At 47.0% G+C, this 18,385-nt stretch overlaps 2 protein-coding genes and 1 pseudogene across 17 annotated transcripts in view, besides 5 other annotated features; 2 read left to right on the top strand and 1 right to left on the bottom strand.

The window, feature by feature from the left end:
- Positions 10 to 239: a silencer, noted in NCBI's record as "silent region_8347". NCBI's record gives its function as "represses an Ori minimal core promoter by ATAC-STARR-seq in GM12878 lymphoblastoid cells {active_cell/tissue: GM12878}" and the evidence as "EXISTENCE:reporter gene assay evidence [ECO:0000049][PMID:35858748]".
- SDF2 (stromal cell derived factor 2) lies at positions 3,041 to 16,889 on the bottom strand. Of its 4 annotated transcripts, XM_011525106.3 has the most exons (5): positions 16,741 to 16,889; positions 16,421 to 16,634; positions 9,982 to 10,178; positions 6,181 to 6,237; positions 3,041 to 3,971 (listed from the first exon to the last, which is right to left on the bottom strand). In XM_011525106.3, exons 2-5 carry the CDS (start codon positions 16,569 to 16,571, stop codon positions 3,684 to 3,686), a joined length of 693 nt encoding a protein of 230 aa, XP_011523408.1. In that variant the 5' UTR covers positions 16,572 to 16,634; positions 16,741 to 16,889; the 3' UTR covers positions 3,041 to 3,683. The 4 variants fall into 4 exon arrangements, 3 of the variants coding, with proteins under 3 accessions (XP_011523408.1, XP_047292472.1, NP_008854.2); XM_047436516.1 differs by lacking the exon at positions 6,181 to 6,237; NR_045585.2 differs by lacking the exons at positions 6,181 to 6,237; positions 16,421 to 16,634.
- Positions 10,304 to 10,676, top strand: RPS12P28 (ribosomal protein S12 pseudogene 28; annotated as a pseudogene).
- Positions 16,288 to 17,487: an enhancer, noted in NCBI's record as "MED14-independent group 3 enhancer chr17:26988611-26989810 (GRCh37/hg19 assembly coordinates)". NCBI's record gives its function as "activates an origin of replication core promoter dependent on BRD2, BRD4, P300/CBP and CDK7 cofactors, and independent of MED14, by STARR-seq in HCT116 cells {active_cell/tissue: HCT116}" and the evidence as "EXISTENCE:reporter gene assay evidence [ECO:0000049][PMID:35650434]".
- Positions 16,288 to 17,690: a biological region, named in NCBI's record as "MED14-independent group 3 enhancer GRCh37_chr17:26988611-26989810".
- Positions 16,849 to 16,918: an enhancer, noted in NCBI's record as "active region_11935". NCBI's record gives its function as "activates an Ori minimal core promoter by ATAC-STARR-seq in GM12878 lymphoblastoid cells {active_cell/tissue: GM12878}" and the evidence as "EXISTENCE:reporter gene assay evidence [ECO:0000049][PMID:35858748]".
- SUPT6H (SPT6 homolog, histone chaperone and transcription elongation factor) overlaps positions 16,900 to 18,385 on the top strand; it is a 40,475-nt gene continuing 38,989 nt past the window's right edge. For 12 of the 13 annotated variants that reach the window (XM_047436604.1, XM_047436601.1, XM_047436599.1 and 9 more), the window contains exon 1: positions 16,900 to 17,037. The gene's annotated coding sequence lies outside the window, so the exon portion shown is untranslated. Of the gene's footprint in view, positions 17,038 to 17,311; positions 17,381 to 18,385 lie in introns of all 13 variants that reach the window. The other variant, XM_047436596.1, reaches the window with a different exon arrangement.
- Positions 17,016 to 17,690: an enhancer, noted in NCBI's record as "H3K27ac hESC enhancer chr17:26989339-26990013 (GRCh37/hg19 assembly coordinates)". NCBI's record gives its function as "activates a minimal SCP1, AML or CMV promoter by ChIP-STARR-seq in primed H9 embryonic stem cells {active_cell/tissue: H9 hESC(primed)}" and the evidence as "EXISTENCE:reporter gene assay evidence [ECO:0000049][PMID:30033119]".

An 18,385-nucleotide genomic window follows, 5' to 3' on the forward strand; every position in this document is an offset into this window, starting at 1 on the left:
TTCCGGGAGGAGGGCGAGGGGGAGCGGACCAAGAGCTGAAACACGCCCCGGGCGCACACCACGGTGCCCGGAACCGCGGGGCTCGGGGACCCGCGGGGGTCGGAGTCCGGGCCCACTACCTGGGCTGGCGGTGGACCTGGCTGACTCATTTCGGTCCGGGGAGCTCACTTTGAGGGGAGTTGGAGTCCGCCTAGCCACTTAGGCCTGGACTCAGGGTTCTGCGGAAGTTACACCCCTGGTCAGACGTGGTAGCACTCCCATCTTATTCAAGATCCTGTTTGAAAATTACTGAGGCAGAAACTAGGAGGTAATTAAAAGGCCTCAAAAATCTCGCCTCATTCCATCCACAGAGGAAACTAATGAGGTTTTGTTTTTTTTTTCTTTGAGACAAGGACTCGCTACGTTGCCCAGTCTGGTCTCGAACTCCTGCAGGCTCAAGGGATCCTCCTGCCTCAGCCTCCTGAGTAGCTTGGACTAAAGACGCGTGTCACGGTTCCTGGCCAATGAGTTTTTACTTCATTTACTGTTTGAACACTGTTCTGGTCCATCTACTTATGGCACGAACTGGGCCCTGATGGAGGAGAGGAGGAGATACTGCAGAAGTAGTGAATATTGTTCTTGCCCTTTAGCAAAAAATAGTTTATCTGGGAAGCAAACATAATTACATAAAGTAGACAATACATAGTCAGTTTTGCCTGCTTCCTTCTGTGTAGTTTATCTGGGAAGCAAACATAATTACATAAAATAGACAATACATAGTTTTGCCTGCTTCCTTCTCTGTAAAATGAGAGAACAGGACAAAGGTCCCTCAGCGTTACTGTGCTAAGGATCAGTATCTGAATGATGATCTACTGATACAGCACAAGCTAAGGAAATCCTGACGGTTTCAAAATAAGTATTATGGAGGAGGTCATGTCTCTTTTCATACCCCTTCGCTCCCACGTCCTAATCTCCATATATATCCTTCAAGATTTTACTCAGAGCCTCTCTTTTTGGCTCCCTCAGATAAAACACCATTTCATCTTTCACCTGTGTGTTGCCCGAAGTTGCTTTCACTCCTCTGATTGTTTCCTCCCTTATCTATTCCTCTCTTCAGTGATTTCACATCTCCCCAAGAGCTCCAGCGCTGCTGTTTCAAGGTCATACTTACCTCTCAAGCACTGTATTTGCGTCATCTTCCTCGTCATCTGCAGCCTTCCCCCAGGGTATGTCCTCCGAATGCTCTGGGAAGGCCCAATTCACTGAAAACCTCTGTCCAAGTCAAGGAGGGGTGCCGTGCAACACGTATCCCTACTCTGGTTCATCTTATCCAATCTGTTTATTGAACCAAGATTCCTGTCACTTCCTTCCTTCTCCCTTGACTATTACCGGCCCTACTCCCAGCCATCTCATAGCCTAAAATGTTGATTTTATGATTTGTCTATTTCTTTCTGGAGAGATCTTAAGGGATCAACACAAGTGAAGTGGAATAAAGGCAGGGAGTCGGGGGTGGGGGGTGGTTGAGGCAACAGTGGGGCTCAACTAATTCATGGCCTCCATTTATTGAGACCACAAGCCCTTGTAAAAGAGACCAAGTCTTTTAACGTCACGGGCCATGTTTGGCACAGAAATGGTGTCTCTAAATGTTCAACATTAACAAAACAAATAGAAAAAAAAAGAACAAAACCCGGAAGTTTCTAAAAATAAAAAAAGCCTGCTAGTCACTGAAATTCCAGCAGATGGCAGCCATCTCCGTTCACCAATACCATGATTGGAAGCTACAGGAGCAAATTTTCTGCAATTGACACAGGAAAGGAGGAAATCAGGTAGGCAGAGGACAAAAGTAGTTTTCTATCCACCTTTTTAGAGAGATATATCTACGTTTGTCCAAAAAACAGGATTTGTTTTCCAAAAGCTAAACACAATCGTAGTGCACTTAAAAAAACCTGAGTCAGAAACAGCTGGATTCCTATTCCAAAATGATTTATTAGTTTTAAGAATTCAGGCCGGGCACGGTGGCTCACACCTGTTTTCCCAGCACTTTGGGAGGCCAAGGTGGGCGGATCACAAAAGGTCAGGAGTTCAAGACCAGCCTGGCCAATATGGTGAAACCCCATCTCTACTAAAAATACAAAAATTAGTCAGGTGTGGTGGCGGGTGCCTGTAGTCCCAGCTACTCAGGAGGCTGAGGCAGGGGAATCACTTGAACCTGGGAGGCGGAGGTTGCAGTGAGCCGAGATTGCACCACTGCACTCCAGTCTGGGCGACAGAGTGAGACTCCATCTTAAAAAAAAAAAAAAAAGAATTCAGGCAGTAGGCCAGGCATGGTGGCTCACTCCTGTAATCCCCAGCACTTTGGGAAGACACAGCATAAGGATCACTTGAGCCCAGGAGTTCCAGACCAGCCTGGGTAACATAGTGAGACCTCATCTCTACGATAAATCAAAAACTGACACAGGAGGATCAACTTGAGCCCAGGAGGTCAAGGCTGTAATAAGCCATGATTGTGCCCCTCCCACCTAGGTGACAGAGCAAAGAACTTGTCTCAAAAAAAAAAAAAAAAAAGAATTCAGGCAGTTACTCAACTGCTGCACTGATAAAAATGCAGTATTACCCTATATGAATTCTGTGAAGATTAAATGAGGTAAGATCTATAGGCCGGGTGCGGTGGCTCACGCCTGTAATCTCAGCACTTTGGGAGGCTGAGGCGGGCGGATCATGAGGTCAGGAGATCGAGACCATCCTAGTTAATACAGTGAAACCCTGTCTCTACTAAAAATACAAAAAAATTACCCTGGCGTGGTGGCGGGTGCCTGTAGCACCGGCTACTTGGGAGGCTGAGGCAGGAGGATGGTTGTGAACCCAGGAGGTGGAACTTGCAGTGAGCCGAGATCGCGCCACTGCACTCCAGCCTGGGCGACAGACCGAGACTCTGTCTAAAAAACAATAAATAAAAAAAAAGATCTATAATATGGTACCTAGTATTTAGCAGTGAATAAATACTGGTTCGTTCTTTCTACCCCTACACCTTTTTCTCATCTGCAGTAACAGATACAAAGCAAACATTTCACTGGCTATTTATTATGCTGTATTCTCTGAGAGTTTTTAGCTATAATTAGTCAAAGATCTATTAAAGATGAGATGCCTGGAGAGAAGTCAAAGTAGAGGGAGAAAAGGTTTGTATGCAAGAAAAGCTCTTAAAAGGGCCCACATTGGAGCTTCATAGCGTCTCCAAAGAGTCTTAGGACTCAAAGGATTAAGCAGCTAATGAAATAGCACACCTAATAAATAACAACACAGTGACTCATAATAAAATTATTGTTTTTATCATTTTGGAGAGAGAAAATAGGGGGAAAATCACATACATTAACAGTCCATGATGCCAAGCTCCTGAAGAGTAAAAGTTTCCCAGCTAAGAGGGATGTTTCCCTCAGTTTGTTTTATCAGTACTAATAAAAAGCATCTGCCCCTTTACCAGCAAGTCCTCTACTCAGAAAGAACTGACCCACGCAAGTCTGGGAGAGTGACTAGTTCAAATGTGCAGGGCTGAAGCTTCCAAACACAGCCACTATTTTCTGTTGTATATCTTCATCTCAATGGTGACATGGCCACTGCCCAAGGAACTTGTGGCAGGGATCCCAAGGTGAGGCAGCAACAGATGTCTGTGAACATTGTGCGTTAACAGTGGCTCAGAGCCTCTAGATTCACAGCTCTGCATGGTGGGCTTCTGCCTTCAACAACTCACTGGGCTTCATGAAGATGCCTTCCATGGCTTTCCAGTAGTTGTTCTGACTTGGCTGGGCCATGCCATGCACCTCTTTTTGCCCACTGATAGGTCGACCATATTGTTCTCCTGTGACAGACAGCAGTACCTCAGTGGAAGAGTGTTTGAACCGCACCTCACCATCTCTCACCCAGTAGGGTCCATTACAGAGCACTGTCCAGTCATCCAGATAATCACCTTCACCTTCCTCACCAAAAGCACTCACTTCCTAGAAAATACAGAAGGTAGTAACATCAGCATGGCTGACAAGGGCTTGAAAAGGGGTGGGAGGCAATGGGAAGAAAAAGAAGGCCACCTTGAAGTAAAAAATCAGAGGGGCCAGGCTTATGCCTGTAATCCTACCACTTTGGGAAGCTGAGCAGGGCAGATCACTTGAGCCCAAGAGTTTGAGACCAGCCTGGGCAACATGGTGAAACGCTATCCCTAAAAAAAATACAAAAGAAATTAGCTGAGGTCAGGAGTTCAAGACCAGCCTGACCGACATGGAGAAACCCTGTCTCTACTAAAAATACAAAATTAGCTGGGTGTGGTGGCACATGCCTGTAATCCCAGCTACTCGGGAGGCTGAGGCAGGAGAATCGCTTGAACCCGGGAGGCGGAGGTTGCGGTGAGCCGAGATCACACCATTGCACTCCAGCCTGGGCAACAAGAGCAAAACTCTGTCTCAAAAAAAAAAAAAGAAAAAAAAAAAAGAAATTAGCTGGGCATGGTGGCACATGCCTATGGTACCCAGCTACTACAGCTATCACCTAAGTCCAGGGGATCAAGGCTGCAATGAGCTGTGATCATACCACTGCACTCCAGCTTGGATTACAGAGCAAGACCCCATCTCAAAAAAAAAAAAAAAATTCAGCTGCTTTCCAGTGTTGTTATTTTATTTATTTATTTATTTATTTATTTTGAGACAGAGTATCGCTCTTGTTGCCCAGGCTGGAGTGCAATGGCGCAATCTCGGCTCACCACAACCTCCGCCTCCCAGGTTCAAGTGATTTTCCTGCCTCAGCCTCCCTAGTAGCTGGGATTACAGGCATGTGCCACCATGCCCGGCTAATTTTGTATTTTTAGTAGAGACAGGGTTTCTCCATGTTGGTCAGGCTGGTTTCGAATTCCCAACCTCAGGTGATCCTCCCGCCTCAGCCTCCCAAAGTGCTGGGATTACAGGCATGAGCCACCGTGCCCGGCCACTCCAGTGTTGTTTAAACCATGAACCATGGAAAAAGACGAAAGACATAAAGGACATAGGAGGAAAAAAATTCATTGCTATAAGATTATGGTCCATGGTTCTTATCTGAGTCATGGCATCAAAAAGAAAGGAAAAAAAAAAGATTATGGTCCAAACACTTATTTTGCAATTAATACTATAATTGCCTTATATTTTCTATTACAGTGTTAAAACAGAATTTCTTTTTTTTTTCTTTTTAAGAGTTGGGATTGTGGCCAGGTACGGTAGCTCATGCCTGTAATCCCAGTAATTTGGGAGGGCGAGGCGGGCAGATCGCCTGAGGTCAGGAGTTCAAGACCAGCCTGGCCAACATGGTAAAACCCCATCTCTACTAAAAATACAAAAATTAGCCAGGTGTGGTGGCAGGCGCCTGTAATCCCAGCTATTCGGGAGGCTGAAGCAGGAGAATCGCTTGAACCTGGGAGGCGGAGGTTGCCGTGAGCCGAAGGTTGCAGTGAGCCGAGATTGCACCACTGGACTCCAGCCTGGATGACAAGAGTGAGACTTTGTCTCAAAAAAAAAAAAAAAAAAAAAAAAAAAACAGTTAGGGTATCTTGCTCTGTTGCCCAGGCTGGAGTGCAGTGCCTCAAGTGGTCTTATGGCCTCACCTCCTGAGTAGCTAAGACAACAGGCATATACCACCACACCCAGGTAATTAAAAGTTTTTTGGTAGGCAACTGTGTTGCCTTGGCTGGCCTCTAACTCCTGGACTTAAACGATTCTCCCCACTTGGTCTTTTAGGGTGCTGGGATTACAGGTGTGAGCCACCGTGCTGGCTTTAAAATACTTTACTTTTTTGAGACAGCATCTCGCTCTGTCGCCCAGGCTGGAGTGCAATGGCACAATCTCGGCTCTCTGCAACCTCCACCTCTTGGGTTCTCATGCCTCAGCCTCCAGAATAGCTGGGATTACAGGCATGTGCTACCACACCCAGCTAATTTTGGTATTTTTTAATAGAGATGGGGGTTTCACCATGTTGACCAGGCTGGTCTCAAACTCCCAGCCTCAAGTGATCCACCTACCTCAGCGTAGTAAAGTGCTGGGAGTACAGGCATGAGCCACCACATTCTGCCCTTAAAATACTTTATATCTCTTGTTATTTGACTTTAAATATTACTGCTTCATTCTCTTAACTAGATTTTAAATGACCTGATGACAAGTTCAAAAGGGAATGGACTCTGGGAGTCAGGCTGACCTTGAATCTCAACTTGATCCCTTCTTCTGTAAATCCTTTGAGCCTTTGTTTTCTCCTCTATAAAATGATCACAATATCACCTTACAGAGCAACTGTGAGAATTAAATGAGATAGCAAATATTAACTGAGCAAAACATAGCAAGTTTTCTACATTCTTTTCTTTCTTTCTAATAAGGCAGTGAGAGAGAAAGCAAGTTCTCTATATTCTACTCCTCATCTAAATCCCATCTTCCTTAAGGCCAAATATTCAGTTTCTATACGATGGCAATTAAAAAATTACTGATTATTTCAGAAGTGTGTGTGTGTGTGTGTGTGTACACTCTACTTGATAAAATTGTTCCCAGGAGGGTACCAGTATGTAATTCTGATACTGCTATATTTGTATACTGGAACTGAACTGAAGTTCAATACATGGATGGCAGATGGTAGGAACAAGGTATCTTACTGTTGGAGTGGGAATTTACAAATTAGCACAGGGAGGAGGCTAGGACGATCTATGTGGTAATGGATTACAGCTAAAGACATCAATAAGAACACTAGCCAGGCACAGTGGGGCATGCCTGTATCCCCAGCTACTTGGAAGGCTGACGCAAGAGGACTGCTTGAGCCAAGGAGTTCGAGGCTCTAGTGCACTATCATCACACCTGTGAGTAGCCACTGCACTCCAGCCTGAATAACACAGCAAGAACCCATCTTAAAAAAAAAAGAAAAAGAAAAAGAAAGCTCATTTAACTTAATATATGTAGATACAGATGGCTATGCAAATAAAAATTTATAGATATGTAATATATACACGAGTAAGCACACACAGGTAACAATTCTTTATTTTTTTAATTTTTTTTTGAGACAGAGTCTCGCCCTGTCACCCAGGCTGGAATGCAATGGTGCAATCTCGGCTCACTGCAACCTCCGCCTCCCAGGTTCAAACGATTCTCCTACCTCGGCCTCCCAAGTAGCTGGGATCACAGGCTCCCGCCACCATGCCCAGCTAATTTTTGTACTTTAGTAGATACGGGGTTTCACCATGTTAGCCAGGCTGGTCTCGAACTCCTGACCTTGTGATCCACCCACCTCTGCCTCACAAAGTGCCGGGATTATAGGTGTGAGCCACTGCGCCTGGCTTACAGTTATTTATTCTGTCAAGTGAGAGGGCCTAAAAGAAACACTCCAGTAGCAACAAGCTTACATAAGGCCTAGAACTTGGTTTTAATATCATTCTCCAATAAAAGGAAGCAGAGCTCCTTGGAGAAACAGCTGATTCTAGTACTGGAGCAAGAAATAAACAAGATGAGCCTGGAGCATCTTTTGGTGCCAGAAAGGAAAGAAGTGCTTTAAAGTGCAGGCACATATACACAAAAACACAATGGGATACTGCCAATGGACACAAAGCCAGCTGAAAGAATTCCCAATGGCCAAAGTTGGAACAATTTGAGCAACAAAATATAGTAGCATTAGATTATAACGAAGTATAAACTATCCATAAGTTTATACTAATGTAAATAACTGAATAAATAAATAAATTGGGGAAAAGAGACAAATCCCCAATATGGAAAAATCCCAAATAAAATATGTAGATATTCCACCCTAATGTAGACAGAGTATAACTCTCCAGTCTGTAAGAGTGAAATGCACATAGTGACTTTCTTCCAAAAAGTGCATGGAAAGGGGGAAAATGAAAAGAATAACTTTACAGGAGAAACCTAACGAACAAACACTACTTCAGCCAGGTAATCAAGGTCCACATCAACAGTCATAAATCATAAAGATAGTATGTACCCCTGATATGATGGGATACAAATGGCACTTTACCTCTGTGATCTTCCTCCCAAACCCTTTATAAGTCCGGTCTAATCACAAGAAAAACAAATTCCAACAGAGGGGCAATCTACAATACACCTGACCAGCACTCCTCAAAGCTGTCAAGGTCATCAAAAACTAGGGAAGCCTGAAAAACTGTCACAGCCAAGAACAGCCTAATGAGACATGGCAAGTATATGTAATGTGGTATTTTGGAATGGAAAAAGAACATTAGGTAAAAACTAAGGGACCGGGCACGGAGGCCTCACGCCTGTAATCCCAGCAGTTTGGGAGGCCAAGGTGGGTGGATCACAAGGTCAGGAGCTCGAGACCAACCTGGACAACATGGTGAAACCCCGTCTCTACTGAAAATACAAAAATCAGCCGGGCGTGGTGGCAGGCACCTGTAATCCCAGCTACTCAGGAGGCTGTGGCAAGAGAATAGCTTGAACCTGGGAGGCGGAGGTTGCAGTGAGCTGAGATCGCGCCATAGCACTCCAGCCTGGGACAGAGCGAGACTCTGTCTCAAAAAACAAAACAAAACAAAACAAAACAAGGGAATCAGAAAAAAACTATGGTCTTTAGTTAATAAAACTGTATCAATATTGCTTCATTAAATATAGCAAATTTACCCTTCGAAGGTAAGATATTAATAGGGAAAACTGCATACAGGGGCTGGGGACAGGGAAGGAGTCATTAAGGTGTCCACATCCCCTGACAACTCAAGGCTTAAAACAGTGGCACAAGGCTGGGTGTACTGGCTTATGCTTGTAATCCCAGCACTTTGGGAGGCTGAGGCAGGCAGATAGCTTGAGCTCAGGAGTTTGAGACCAGCCTAGGCAACATGGCAAAACCCCGTATCTACCAAAAAAAATACAAAAATTAGCCAGGCATGGTGGCGTGAGCCTGTAGTGAGGGCTGAGGTGGGAGAATTGCTTGAGCCCAGGAGGCTGAGGCTGCAGTGAGCAAGATCACACTACAACCTGGGTGACAGAGCAAGACCCTGTTTAAAAACAAAAAACAGTGACACAAAAGCAAATCTATTTTCCTAATGTAACTAGTTAGCATCATTAAAAAAAAAAAAAACACTGCAAGTTGGAAAACATTGGGTTTCTTTATTGCAGAATATCAGAACTTATGATATGCTGATGTATACCCAGTCTGTCTGTCCTTCCCATTTCTTGATTTGGTTTAGTTGTTGTCTCCACTTTGACCAGAAACAATTTTCTTCACACTTATAAAACAAAGCCGGCTGGGTGCAGTGGCTCATGCCTATAATCCCAACACTTCCAGGAGGCAGAGGCGGGTGGATCACCTGAGGTCAGGAGTTCGAGACCAGCCTGACCAATATGGTGAAAACCCATCTCTACTAAAAATACAAAAATCAGGCCAGGCGCGGTGACTTGCACTTGTAATCCCAGCACTTTGGGAGGCCGAAGTGGGCAGATCACAAGGTCAGGAGTTCGAGACCAGCCTGGCCAACACAGTGAAACCCCATCTCTACTAAAAATACAAAAAAAAAAATTAGCCAGGTGTGGTGGCACACGCCTGTAGTCCCAGCCACTCGGGCAGCTGAGGTGGGAGAACCGCTTGAACGCAGGAGGCAGAGGTTGCAATGAGCTGAGACCATGCCATTGCACTCCAGCCTGGGTGACAGAGTGAGACTCCATCTCAAAAAAATAAAAATAAAAACAAAAATTAGCCAGGCATGGTGGCATGCGCCTGTAATCCCAGCTACTTGGGAGACTGAGGCAGGAGACTTGCTTGAACCCAGAGGCGGAGGTTGCAGTGAGCCAAGATCATGCCACTGCACTGCAGCCTGGGTGACAGAGTGAGACTGCGTCTCAAAAACAACAAAAACCCACACAAAAATAGAGCCATTTCCCCAGGTCTGCACAAAAGAGAACATCTACACCTAGAAAAGAAACATTTAAGAACCAAGAGATCAAACAAGCACCCACTGAGTAATGCAGAGCAGCAACAATCCATCGAAAGCCACCTCACCTGGTTTCCAGAAAGAGGTGAAGTGAAGTGGTGACTATGGAGGTTTCGGCCAGTGTTGACATGTGTCAGCCGGATGGGCTGGCCACACTTGATGGGGGTTCCCCTCTCACACACTGTGGCACTCTTCCCCCGTATCCTCCAGTAACTGTTGCTGTCATCCACAGAGGTTACACCTGTCACTGACTGCTGCCCACTACCTGCAGTTAAGAAAAGAAAGGCAACTCTCTTTCTCTGCCATGGACAACATGCTCAGAGACAGAAGCTTGAGTGCGCTCAAGATTCACCTTCACCTGTAACCCACCACCATGACCAAGGAAGACACGCTGCTGGAGGTGTAATGGATATTAATACTGCTCTACAAGAGACTGAAGACCGCCCTCAGCCATGATGGCCTAGCAGGTGGAACCTGCAAAGCTGCCAAAGCCTTAGACAAGGGCCAAGCCCATCTTTGCGTGCTTGCATCCAAATGTGAAGAGCCTATGTATGTCAAGCTAGGGGTGGCCCTTTGTGCCGAACACCAAATCAACCCAATTAAGGTTGATGACCTTAAGAAACCAGAGACATGGCTAAGCCTTTGTAAAACTGATAGACAAGGAAAACTTTGTAAAGTGGTTGGTTGCAGTTGTGTCACAGTGAAGGGCTACAGCAAAGAATTTCAGGCCAAGGATGTGACTGTGTACTTCAAATGCAAGAAATTAACAAATAAATTTGGTACCCATTCCTCAAAAAAAAAAACAGCAAGTGAGCTCAGCCTCACCCTTCTTGCCTATGGCCAATATTGTGCCGTGTCATTAAACAGGTAAGAAGGGGTGGGGAGAAAAATGCTATGCTTGGCAATATTTTTTCTTCTACAACATTAAAATATTTATAAAAAATACAAATCATACTGGGCGTGGTGGCTCACGCTTGTAATCCCAGCACTCTGGGAGTGAAACTTGACCTCCCAAAGTGCTGGGATTGATGGTGAGCCACTGTGCCCAGCCTTTTTCTTCTTTTAAATAAAAAAAAAATTTTTTAGGCTGGGTGTGGTGGCTCACACCTGTAATCCTAGCACTTTTTGGGAGGCTGAGGCAGTTGGATTGCTTGAGCCCAGGAATTCAAGACCAGCCTGGGCAACATGGCAAAAACCCATCTTTACTAAAAATACAAAAATTAGCTGGGTGTGGTGGTGGCAGCCTGTAATCCCAGCTATCTGGGAGGCTGAGGTGGGAGAATCGCTTGAACCCGGGAGGTGGAGGTTGCAATGAGCCAAGATCGCGCCACTGCCCTCCAGCCTGGATGACAGAGCCAGACTCCGTCTCAAAAAAAATAAATAAATAAACTGTGTCCACGTAATACTAGTTACTATATGATAAAGTATACTTAAGGGTATGTCATATCAGAAAATTCTAAGAATTTGCATCAAAGGATATCCAAGGCACAAATCTATGTGAGTTTTTTGAGGCACAGGCAGTGGTAACCTATACACACTAGCCTGGATAGCCCCTAATGTGTCTAATCACATAATTTTAACATGTTTGTAATATTATTCATGTTCATTAACTATTATGATAAAAATTTTTGTATTTCACAATTAAAATGAGACTATGTTGCCAACTTTAAGCAGCCATTACAGCTCCCAACTCCCATAAGTGGTCAATTATTATAAACGTATTATTTAAGCAAGGCACGGTGGCTCACGCCTGTAATCCCAGCACTTTGGGAGGCTGAGGCAGGCAGAACACAAAGTCATGAGTTCGAGACCAGCCTGGCCAATATGGTGAAACCCCGTCTCTACTAAAAATATAAAAATTAGCTGGGCGTGGTCGCATGTGCCTGTAATCCCAGCTACTTGGGAGGCTGAGGCAGAAGAATTGCTTGCATCCGGGAGGCGGAGGTTGCAGTGAGCCGAGATCACACCACCGCACTCCAGCCTAGGTGGCAGGGCAAGACTCTGTCTCAAAACAAAAACAAAAACAAAACAAAAAATGTATCCTTGGAGGTCTGGCACAGTGGCTCATGCCTGTAATCCAAGCGCTTTGGGAAGGTGAGGGGAGGATCCCTTGAGTCCAGGAGTTCGAGACTAGCCTCAGCAACATAGCAAAATGCAGTCTCTAAACGTACATATATATATATGTATTTTTTTTTTTTGATACAGGATCCCTCTTGTCACTCAGGCTGGAGTGCAGTGGCACGATCACAGCTCGCCACAGCCTTGACCTCCCAGGCTCGGGTGATCCTCCTACCTCAGCCTCCCAAGTAGCTGGGATTTCAGGCGCCTGCCACCACACCTGGCTAATTTTTCTATTTTTTGTAGAGATGGGTTTTTGCCATGTTGCCCAGGCTACTCTCGAATTCCTGGGCTCAAGCAATCCAACTGCCTCAGCCTCCCAAAGTGCTAGGATTACAGATGTGAGCCACCACACCCAGCCTAAAAAAAAATTTTTATATTTAAAAGAAAAAAAAGAAGCTGGGCACAGTGGCTCACCGTCAATCCCAGCACTTTGGGAGGTCAAGGTGGGCAGATCGCTTGAGCCCAGGAATTCAAGACCAAGCCTAAGCAACTGACAAAACTCCATCTCTACAAAAGATGCAAAAAATTAATCAGGTGTGGTGGGGTGCACTTGTAGTCCCAGCTACTCAGGACGCTGAGATGTGAGGATTGCTTGAGCCCAGGAGGTCAAGGCTGCAATGAGTCGTAATTGTGTCACTGCCAGTTACACGGGTAAATGTAGCCAACTATCAGCTCCTTTCATGACTTTATTATATCTTTTTTCAGAAAAGGCAAACCAAGTCTCCCTTCCTACTTCTGGTTACTGCCTTACAGCTCTCTGGGTCCTCACAGCCACGCTTCACTAAACCATGGTCTACATTTTGTCTCCTACATTTTCTGCTTTCTATTCAACCGTTCACTTCTTCCTCCAAATCCTTATACCTTGGGATTATCCAAAGTTCTATGCCTGGCCTTCATCTGTTTCTACCTGTAGTTTTTTTTTTTTTTTTTAGTATTTATTGTTCATTCTTGGGTGTTTCTCGGAGAGGGGGATGTGGCAGGGTCACAGGATAATAGTGGAGAGAAGGTCAGCAGATAAACATGTGAACAAAGGTCTCTGGTTTTCCTAGGCAGAGGTCCCTGCGGCCTTCCGCAGTGTTTGTGTCCCTGGGTACTTGAGATTAGGGAGTGGTGATGACTCTTAACGAGCATGCTGCCTTCAAGTATCTGTTTAACAAAGCACATCTTGCACCACCCTTAATCCATTTAACCCTGAGTTGACACAGCACACGTTTCAGAGAGCACGGGGTTGGGGGTAAGGTTATAGATTAACAGCATCCCAAAGCTGAAGAATTTTTCTTAGTACAGAACAAAATGGAGTCTCCTATGTCTACTTCTTTCTACACAGACACAGTAACAATCTGATCTCTCTTTCTTTTCCCCACATTTCCCCCTTTTCTTTTCGACAAAACCGCCATCGTCATCATGGCCCATTCTCGATGGTCGCTGTCTCTTCGGTGCTGTTGGGTACACCTGCAGAAAGGCTGTCACTTCACACTTGGAAGACTGCACAGCGGCCAGGCAGAGGCGCTCCTCACTTCCCAGACGGGGCGGCCGGGCAGAGGCACTCCTCACTTCCCAGACAGGGTGGCCGGGCAGAGGAGCTCCTCACTTAACAGACTGGGTGGCCGGGCAGAGGCGCTCCTCACATCCCAGACGATGGGAGGCCGGACAGAGGCGCTCCTCCCCTCCCAGACGGGGCGGCCGTGCAGAGGCGCTCCTCACTTCCTAGATGGGACAGCCAGGCAGAGGTGCTCCTCAACTCCCAGACGAAGGGCGGCCGGGCAGAGGCGCTCCTCACATCCCAGACAATGGGCGGCCGGGCAGAGGCGCTCCTCACTTCCCAGACAGGGTGGCGGCCGGGCAGAGGCGCTCCTCACATCCCAGACGGGGTGGCGGCCAGGCAGAGGCGCTCCCCACTTCCCAGACGGGGCGGCTGGGCAGAGGCGCTCCCCACTTCCCAGACGGGGCAGCCGGGCAGAGGCGCTCCCCACTTCCCAGACAGGGCGGCCGGGCAGAGGCGCTCCCCACTTCCCAGACGGGGCAGCCGGGCAGAGGCGCTCCCCACTTCCCAGATGGGGTGGCGGCCGGGCAGAGGCGCTCCTCACATCCCAGACAGGGCGGCCAGGTGCTCCCCACTTCCCAGATGGGGTGGCCGGGCAGAGGTGCTCCTCACCTCCCAGATAATGGGCAGCCCACTTCCCAGATGGGGTGGCAGCCGGGCAAAGGCACTCCTCACATCCCAGATGGCGCGGCCGGGCAGAGGCGCTCCTCACTTCCCAGACGGGGCGGCCAGGCAGAGGCGCTCCTCACTTCCTAGACAGGGCGGCCAGGCAGAGACGCTCCTCACATCCCAGACAGGGTGATGGCCGGGCAGAGGTGCTCCTCACTTCCCAGACGGGGTGGCGGCCGGGCAGAGGCCCTCCTCATATCCCAGACGGGGCGGCCAGGCAGAGGCGCTCCTCACATCCCAGACGATGGGCGGCCAGGCAGAGACGCTCCTCACTTCCTAGACGGGGTGGCGGCCGGGCAGAGGCTGTACTCTTAGCACTTTGGGAGGCCAAGGCAGGCGGCTGGGAGGTGGAAGTTGTAGTGAGCCAAGATCACACCACTGCACTCCAGCCTGGGCAACACTGAGCACTGAGTGAGCAAGACTCCATCTGCAATCCCAGCACCTCGGGAGGCTGAGGCAGGCAGATCACTCGAGGTCAGGAGCTGGAGACCAGCCCAGCCAACACGGCGAAACCCCGTCTCCACCAAAAATACGAAAACCAGTCAGGCATGGCGGCGTGTGCCTGCAATCCCAGGCACTCGGCAGGCCGTGGCAGGAGAATCACGGGAGCCCCAGGCAGGGAGGTTGCAGCGAGCCGAGATCACGGCAGTACAGTCCAGCCTCGGCAACAGAGGGAGACCGTGGAAAGAGAGAAGAGACAAGAGAGGGAGACGGAGAGGGCTACCTGTAGTTCTTAAACAATTGTTGAGGGTCAGGACAAAAGCATTTGTATTTTTAACAAGTTTCTCCAGTTATTCAAATTAATCCCAGATAGAGAATCACAGTTCATTCTGGGCAATTTCATCTACAACCCTGACATCTTCAACCACAGTCTGTACAAGATGTTATATTTAATGTTGTATCTCAGGCTCAGCACAGATCCCTTTTCTGAGCTCCGGACTGAACCTGGTTCCCAAATCTGGCTGTCCATCAGAACCACCTGAAGAGCTTTTTAAACCTACAGATTGCTACTGCCAAGCCTCTGTCCACCTCCACTCTAATTCAGTAGATCCAAAGTAGGAAACCAAAACAAAGTAAAAAATAAGCCTGACAACATGGTAGGTGTTCACTGAATGGGTGCTAGAATTATTAAGACATCGCAGTGATGATAACTCATGTCCTTGCCTAGTCTGACTGATCAGATGGGTTTTGGGAATCATGAACCAGACTAGCCCACCTGACAGAACTCTTTCCTCCCTCAGCAAACAGCATCATCAGTCATTCAAGACAAAAATCTACCAGCTATCTTAGATGCCTCTCACATCTCACTAGCTGACCTTCATTCTTTTTTTTTAACTTTATCTTTTTTTTTCAGGCAGATAAGACTTTCTTTTTTTAGTCTGTTTTTATTATATTGTAATTTTCTTGACTGATTATCACCACCGAATCTCCTGTATGTAGTACAATTCTAGCCATGTAGTAGGAACTCATTAAGACCTATGCTGAATGAATCCACAAATAATTTATTACTAAACATTTTAATTTCAAACGCTAAAAAAAAAAAAAAAAAAAAGCAGTTTTCTCTGCAATTCCTGTCACTGCTCCAAGTTTCTTACAAGAAGGAGGTTAAGGTTTGGGTAGAAGGGGGCCAAAGATGGAAACTGAGGAGCAAGTGTAAGATGCAGAAGAGCTGGAAGACAAAGGGTTGTAGTCAACGAGTGAGCTCTTGGAGTTTAAAGTTTCACAGACAGTACTTACTGTAACTTTAAAATTTCAGACACAGCACTTACTGTAATTTTCTTGTCTCTAAAGCAGGCTTTGAACCTGGATAGATTTGGATAGAACCCCGACTTTGTCATTTGCTAACTGCAAGGCTTTGAATAAACGATTTAATTTCTCTGCGTCTGTTTCCTCATCTGTGAAATGAGGATAACAATACTGTCCACCTTACAACAATGTTAATAATCGGAAAAAGGACATAGGTAACGTGCCTGGCCTGTAGCTCACCAAATATTAGGTGGTGTTGCGATTAAGATGCCTTAGAACAATTCAGTTCTCCGACTCTCTAGACCTGAGGAACCTTCCCAGGGAACCCCTAACTTTCCCAGACCACACTGTCAGATATTCTATAGGCCCCGCCCCTCCAGAGCCTCCGAGTCCTCCCTAGCCCACCCGAGCCCGGTCCCCAGCATTACCTGACCCATAGCGCACGTCGTGTGAGTGCAGTCGGACGTTGTGGCGCGTATTGAGTAGCTTCACCACGGAGCCGCAAGTAACGACACCCAGGCTGGACGCTCCCACAGCGCTCCACAAACCCCCCAACAACAGCAGAGGTACTACAGCCATCCTAACTGTATCGCGGAGCCCCAAATCTTCGAAGAAAACTCGGCCCCTCCCCGGAACCGGAAGCTAATGGCGAAACCACGGAGAGAAGGAAGTGAAGAAGCCCGAGTCTGATCTTTATGGTTTATTTGACTAGAGCGGCCTGAGAAACCGGCTGAGCCTGGTTACTTACGATACTCTCGCTCTGTTCCAGGGGCTCAGTGACAGCTGCCTTCCTGAGCCGCTTCGGTTACCTTTCGCACCCACGAGACGAAAGCTTCCGAGAGCGGGAGAGAGAACAAGAAATGGCCCGCCCACTCCCGGTGACAGGGAGCCGGAAATGACGTAGCACGTTGACGCAGCAGCGGCGGCGGTGGCGGCGGAGGGGCCGTGCGGTGGGTCCGTACTATCTTTTCCCAGTCTCGGTTCGACGACTCCATTTTCCTCGGTGGGGGCTTAGCGCACTGGAGGAGCGGCGGGCTTCAGACAGGTAAAGTTCCGACTGGAGAGCGTGTTTCTCGCAGGAGTCAGGTGGGGAACCGGGCTCCTAGGGCCTGGTCACGTAAGGGAAGAGGCAGTGGGGAGCCGTATGCGGGAAGAAGGGGGAGCCTGGCCTTCCCTGCTCTATGGGGGGAAGGGGGAGGAAAGCGCTGTAGTTGCTCAGAGTCCGAAAGCTTTTCCCAGCCCAGTGACACCCGGAACCCGTGAATCGGGTGGCACGTTGAATCAACAGGCTTCCTGGCATCCCGTCCTTCTCTCCGCAGGTTTTTAAAACTGGGCCACGCAAAAGGATTGGGGATGGAAGGGACCTGGGGCTTCTGAGCCAGGATCAGGTGATCGAGTTGTTTGTTCTGGGGATATGAATCCTGTGGAGCTTTCAGCAGCTCGGCCATCAGGCTAGAGGGCGATGCCAAATTCCAGCTCTTTACATATTGCTGAATAATACAAATAGAACTTTTTGTAGATGGTTGCATCCTTCATCCCTTTCTAAAGATCGAAGGTCTTGTAGAAGTCCTAAAGCCCGTCCATTCTCTATAGATTCATTTCCTCAAACGTTTGCCAGAGGCCTATCATGAACATCAAAATTAGTTATTAAGTCAAAACTCCATCTTCTAGTTTCTACCTTTCTCCTCAGGCACTCCTTTGAACCAGCTGGAGAAGTTAATTTTCCTGGGTTGTTGCAAGAACTGATACTTATTTCAGAGGGCTAAGATCTCTGAAAATACTTCCGTGGAAATTCACTGTAATATCAAAAGTAACAAGGGTGTATGAAGCTACATCATTAATGAGCATTAGGGAGTGTAAACAATATTGAATTTGATTAATTTCTTCGGAAAAATGTCTGGTTCCACTGTTTATCTGGAAGTTACCAGTTTGTAAGTCTTCAGTGTTTTGATTACAGAAACATAACTGCTCTTCCATCAGCTGTGAATTTAGAGCCCTTTTTTACGAGTAATGTCCCTTTCACCAGTACAAGTACATTTTTATTCACTTGGCTTGTGTGGCTGCTAGATTGGATTAGCATAGCCTTGCAACTCTAGGAGGTTTTAACTTCATCAGGAGATTAATTACATCAGAAAGTGGTACCGTCTGGAGAGGCTTAGTCAAATTTTACAGTTCTTCCTCTGAAAGCCTACCTAGTGTGGTGGAAACATGATCTTTGTAGGCAAATACGTTTGCCCTGATTCTATATTCTTGACCTTAATAAATGGCACTACCATCAGTCCTGCCTGTAATCCTTGTCTTCCTTCCTGTCCACTATTTCCCAATAAAATCAGTCACCAAATCCTGTCTCTCCCTGAAACTGTTCCCATCAGCATACAAATTATGTTCTGGTA

This window comes from Homo sapiens, chromosome 17 (genome assembly GCF_000001405.40).
Source record: "Homo sapiens chromosome 17, GRCh38.p14 Primary Assembly".
Classification (NCBI taxonomy): Eukaryota; Metazoa; Chordata; class Mammalia; order Primates; family Hominidae; genus Homo; species Homo sapiens.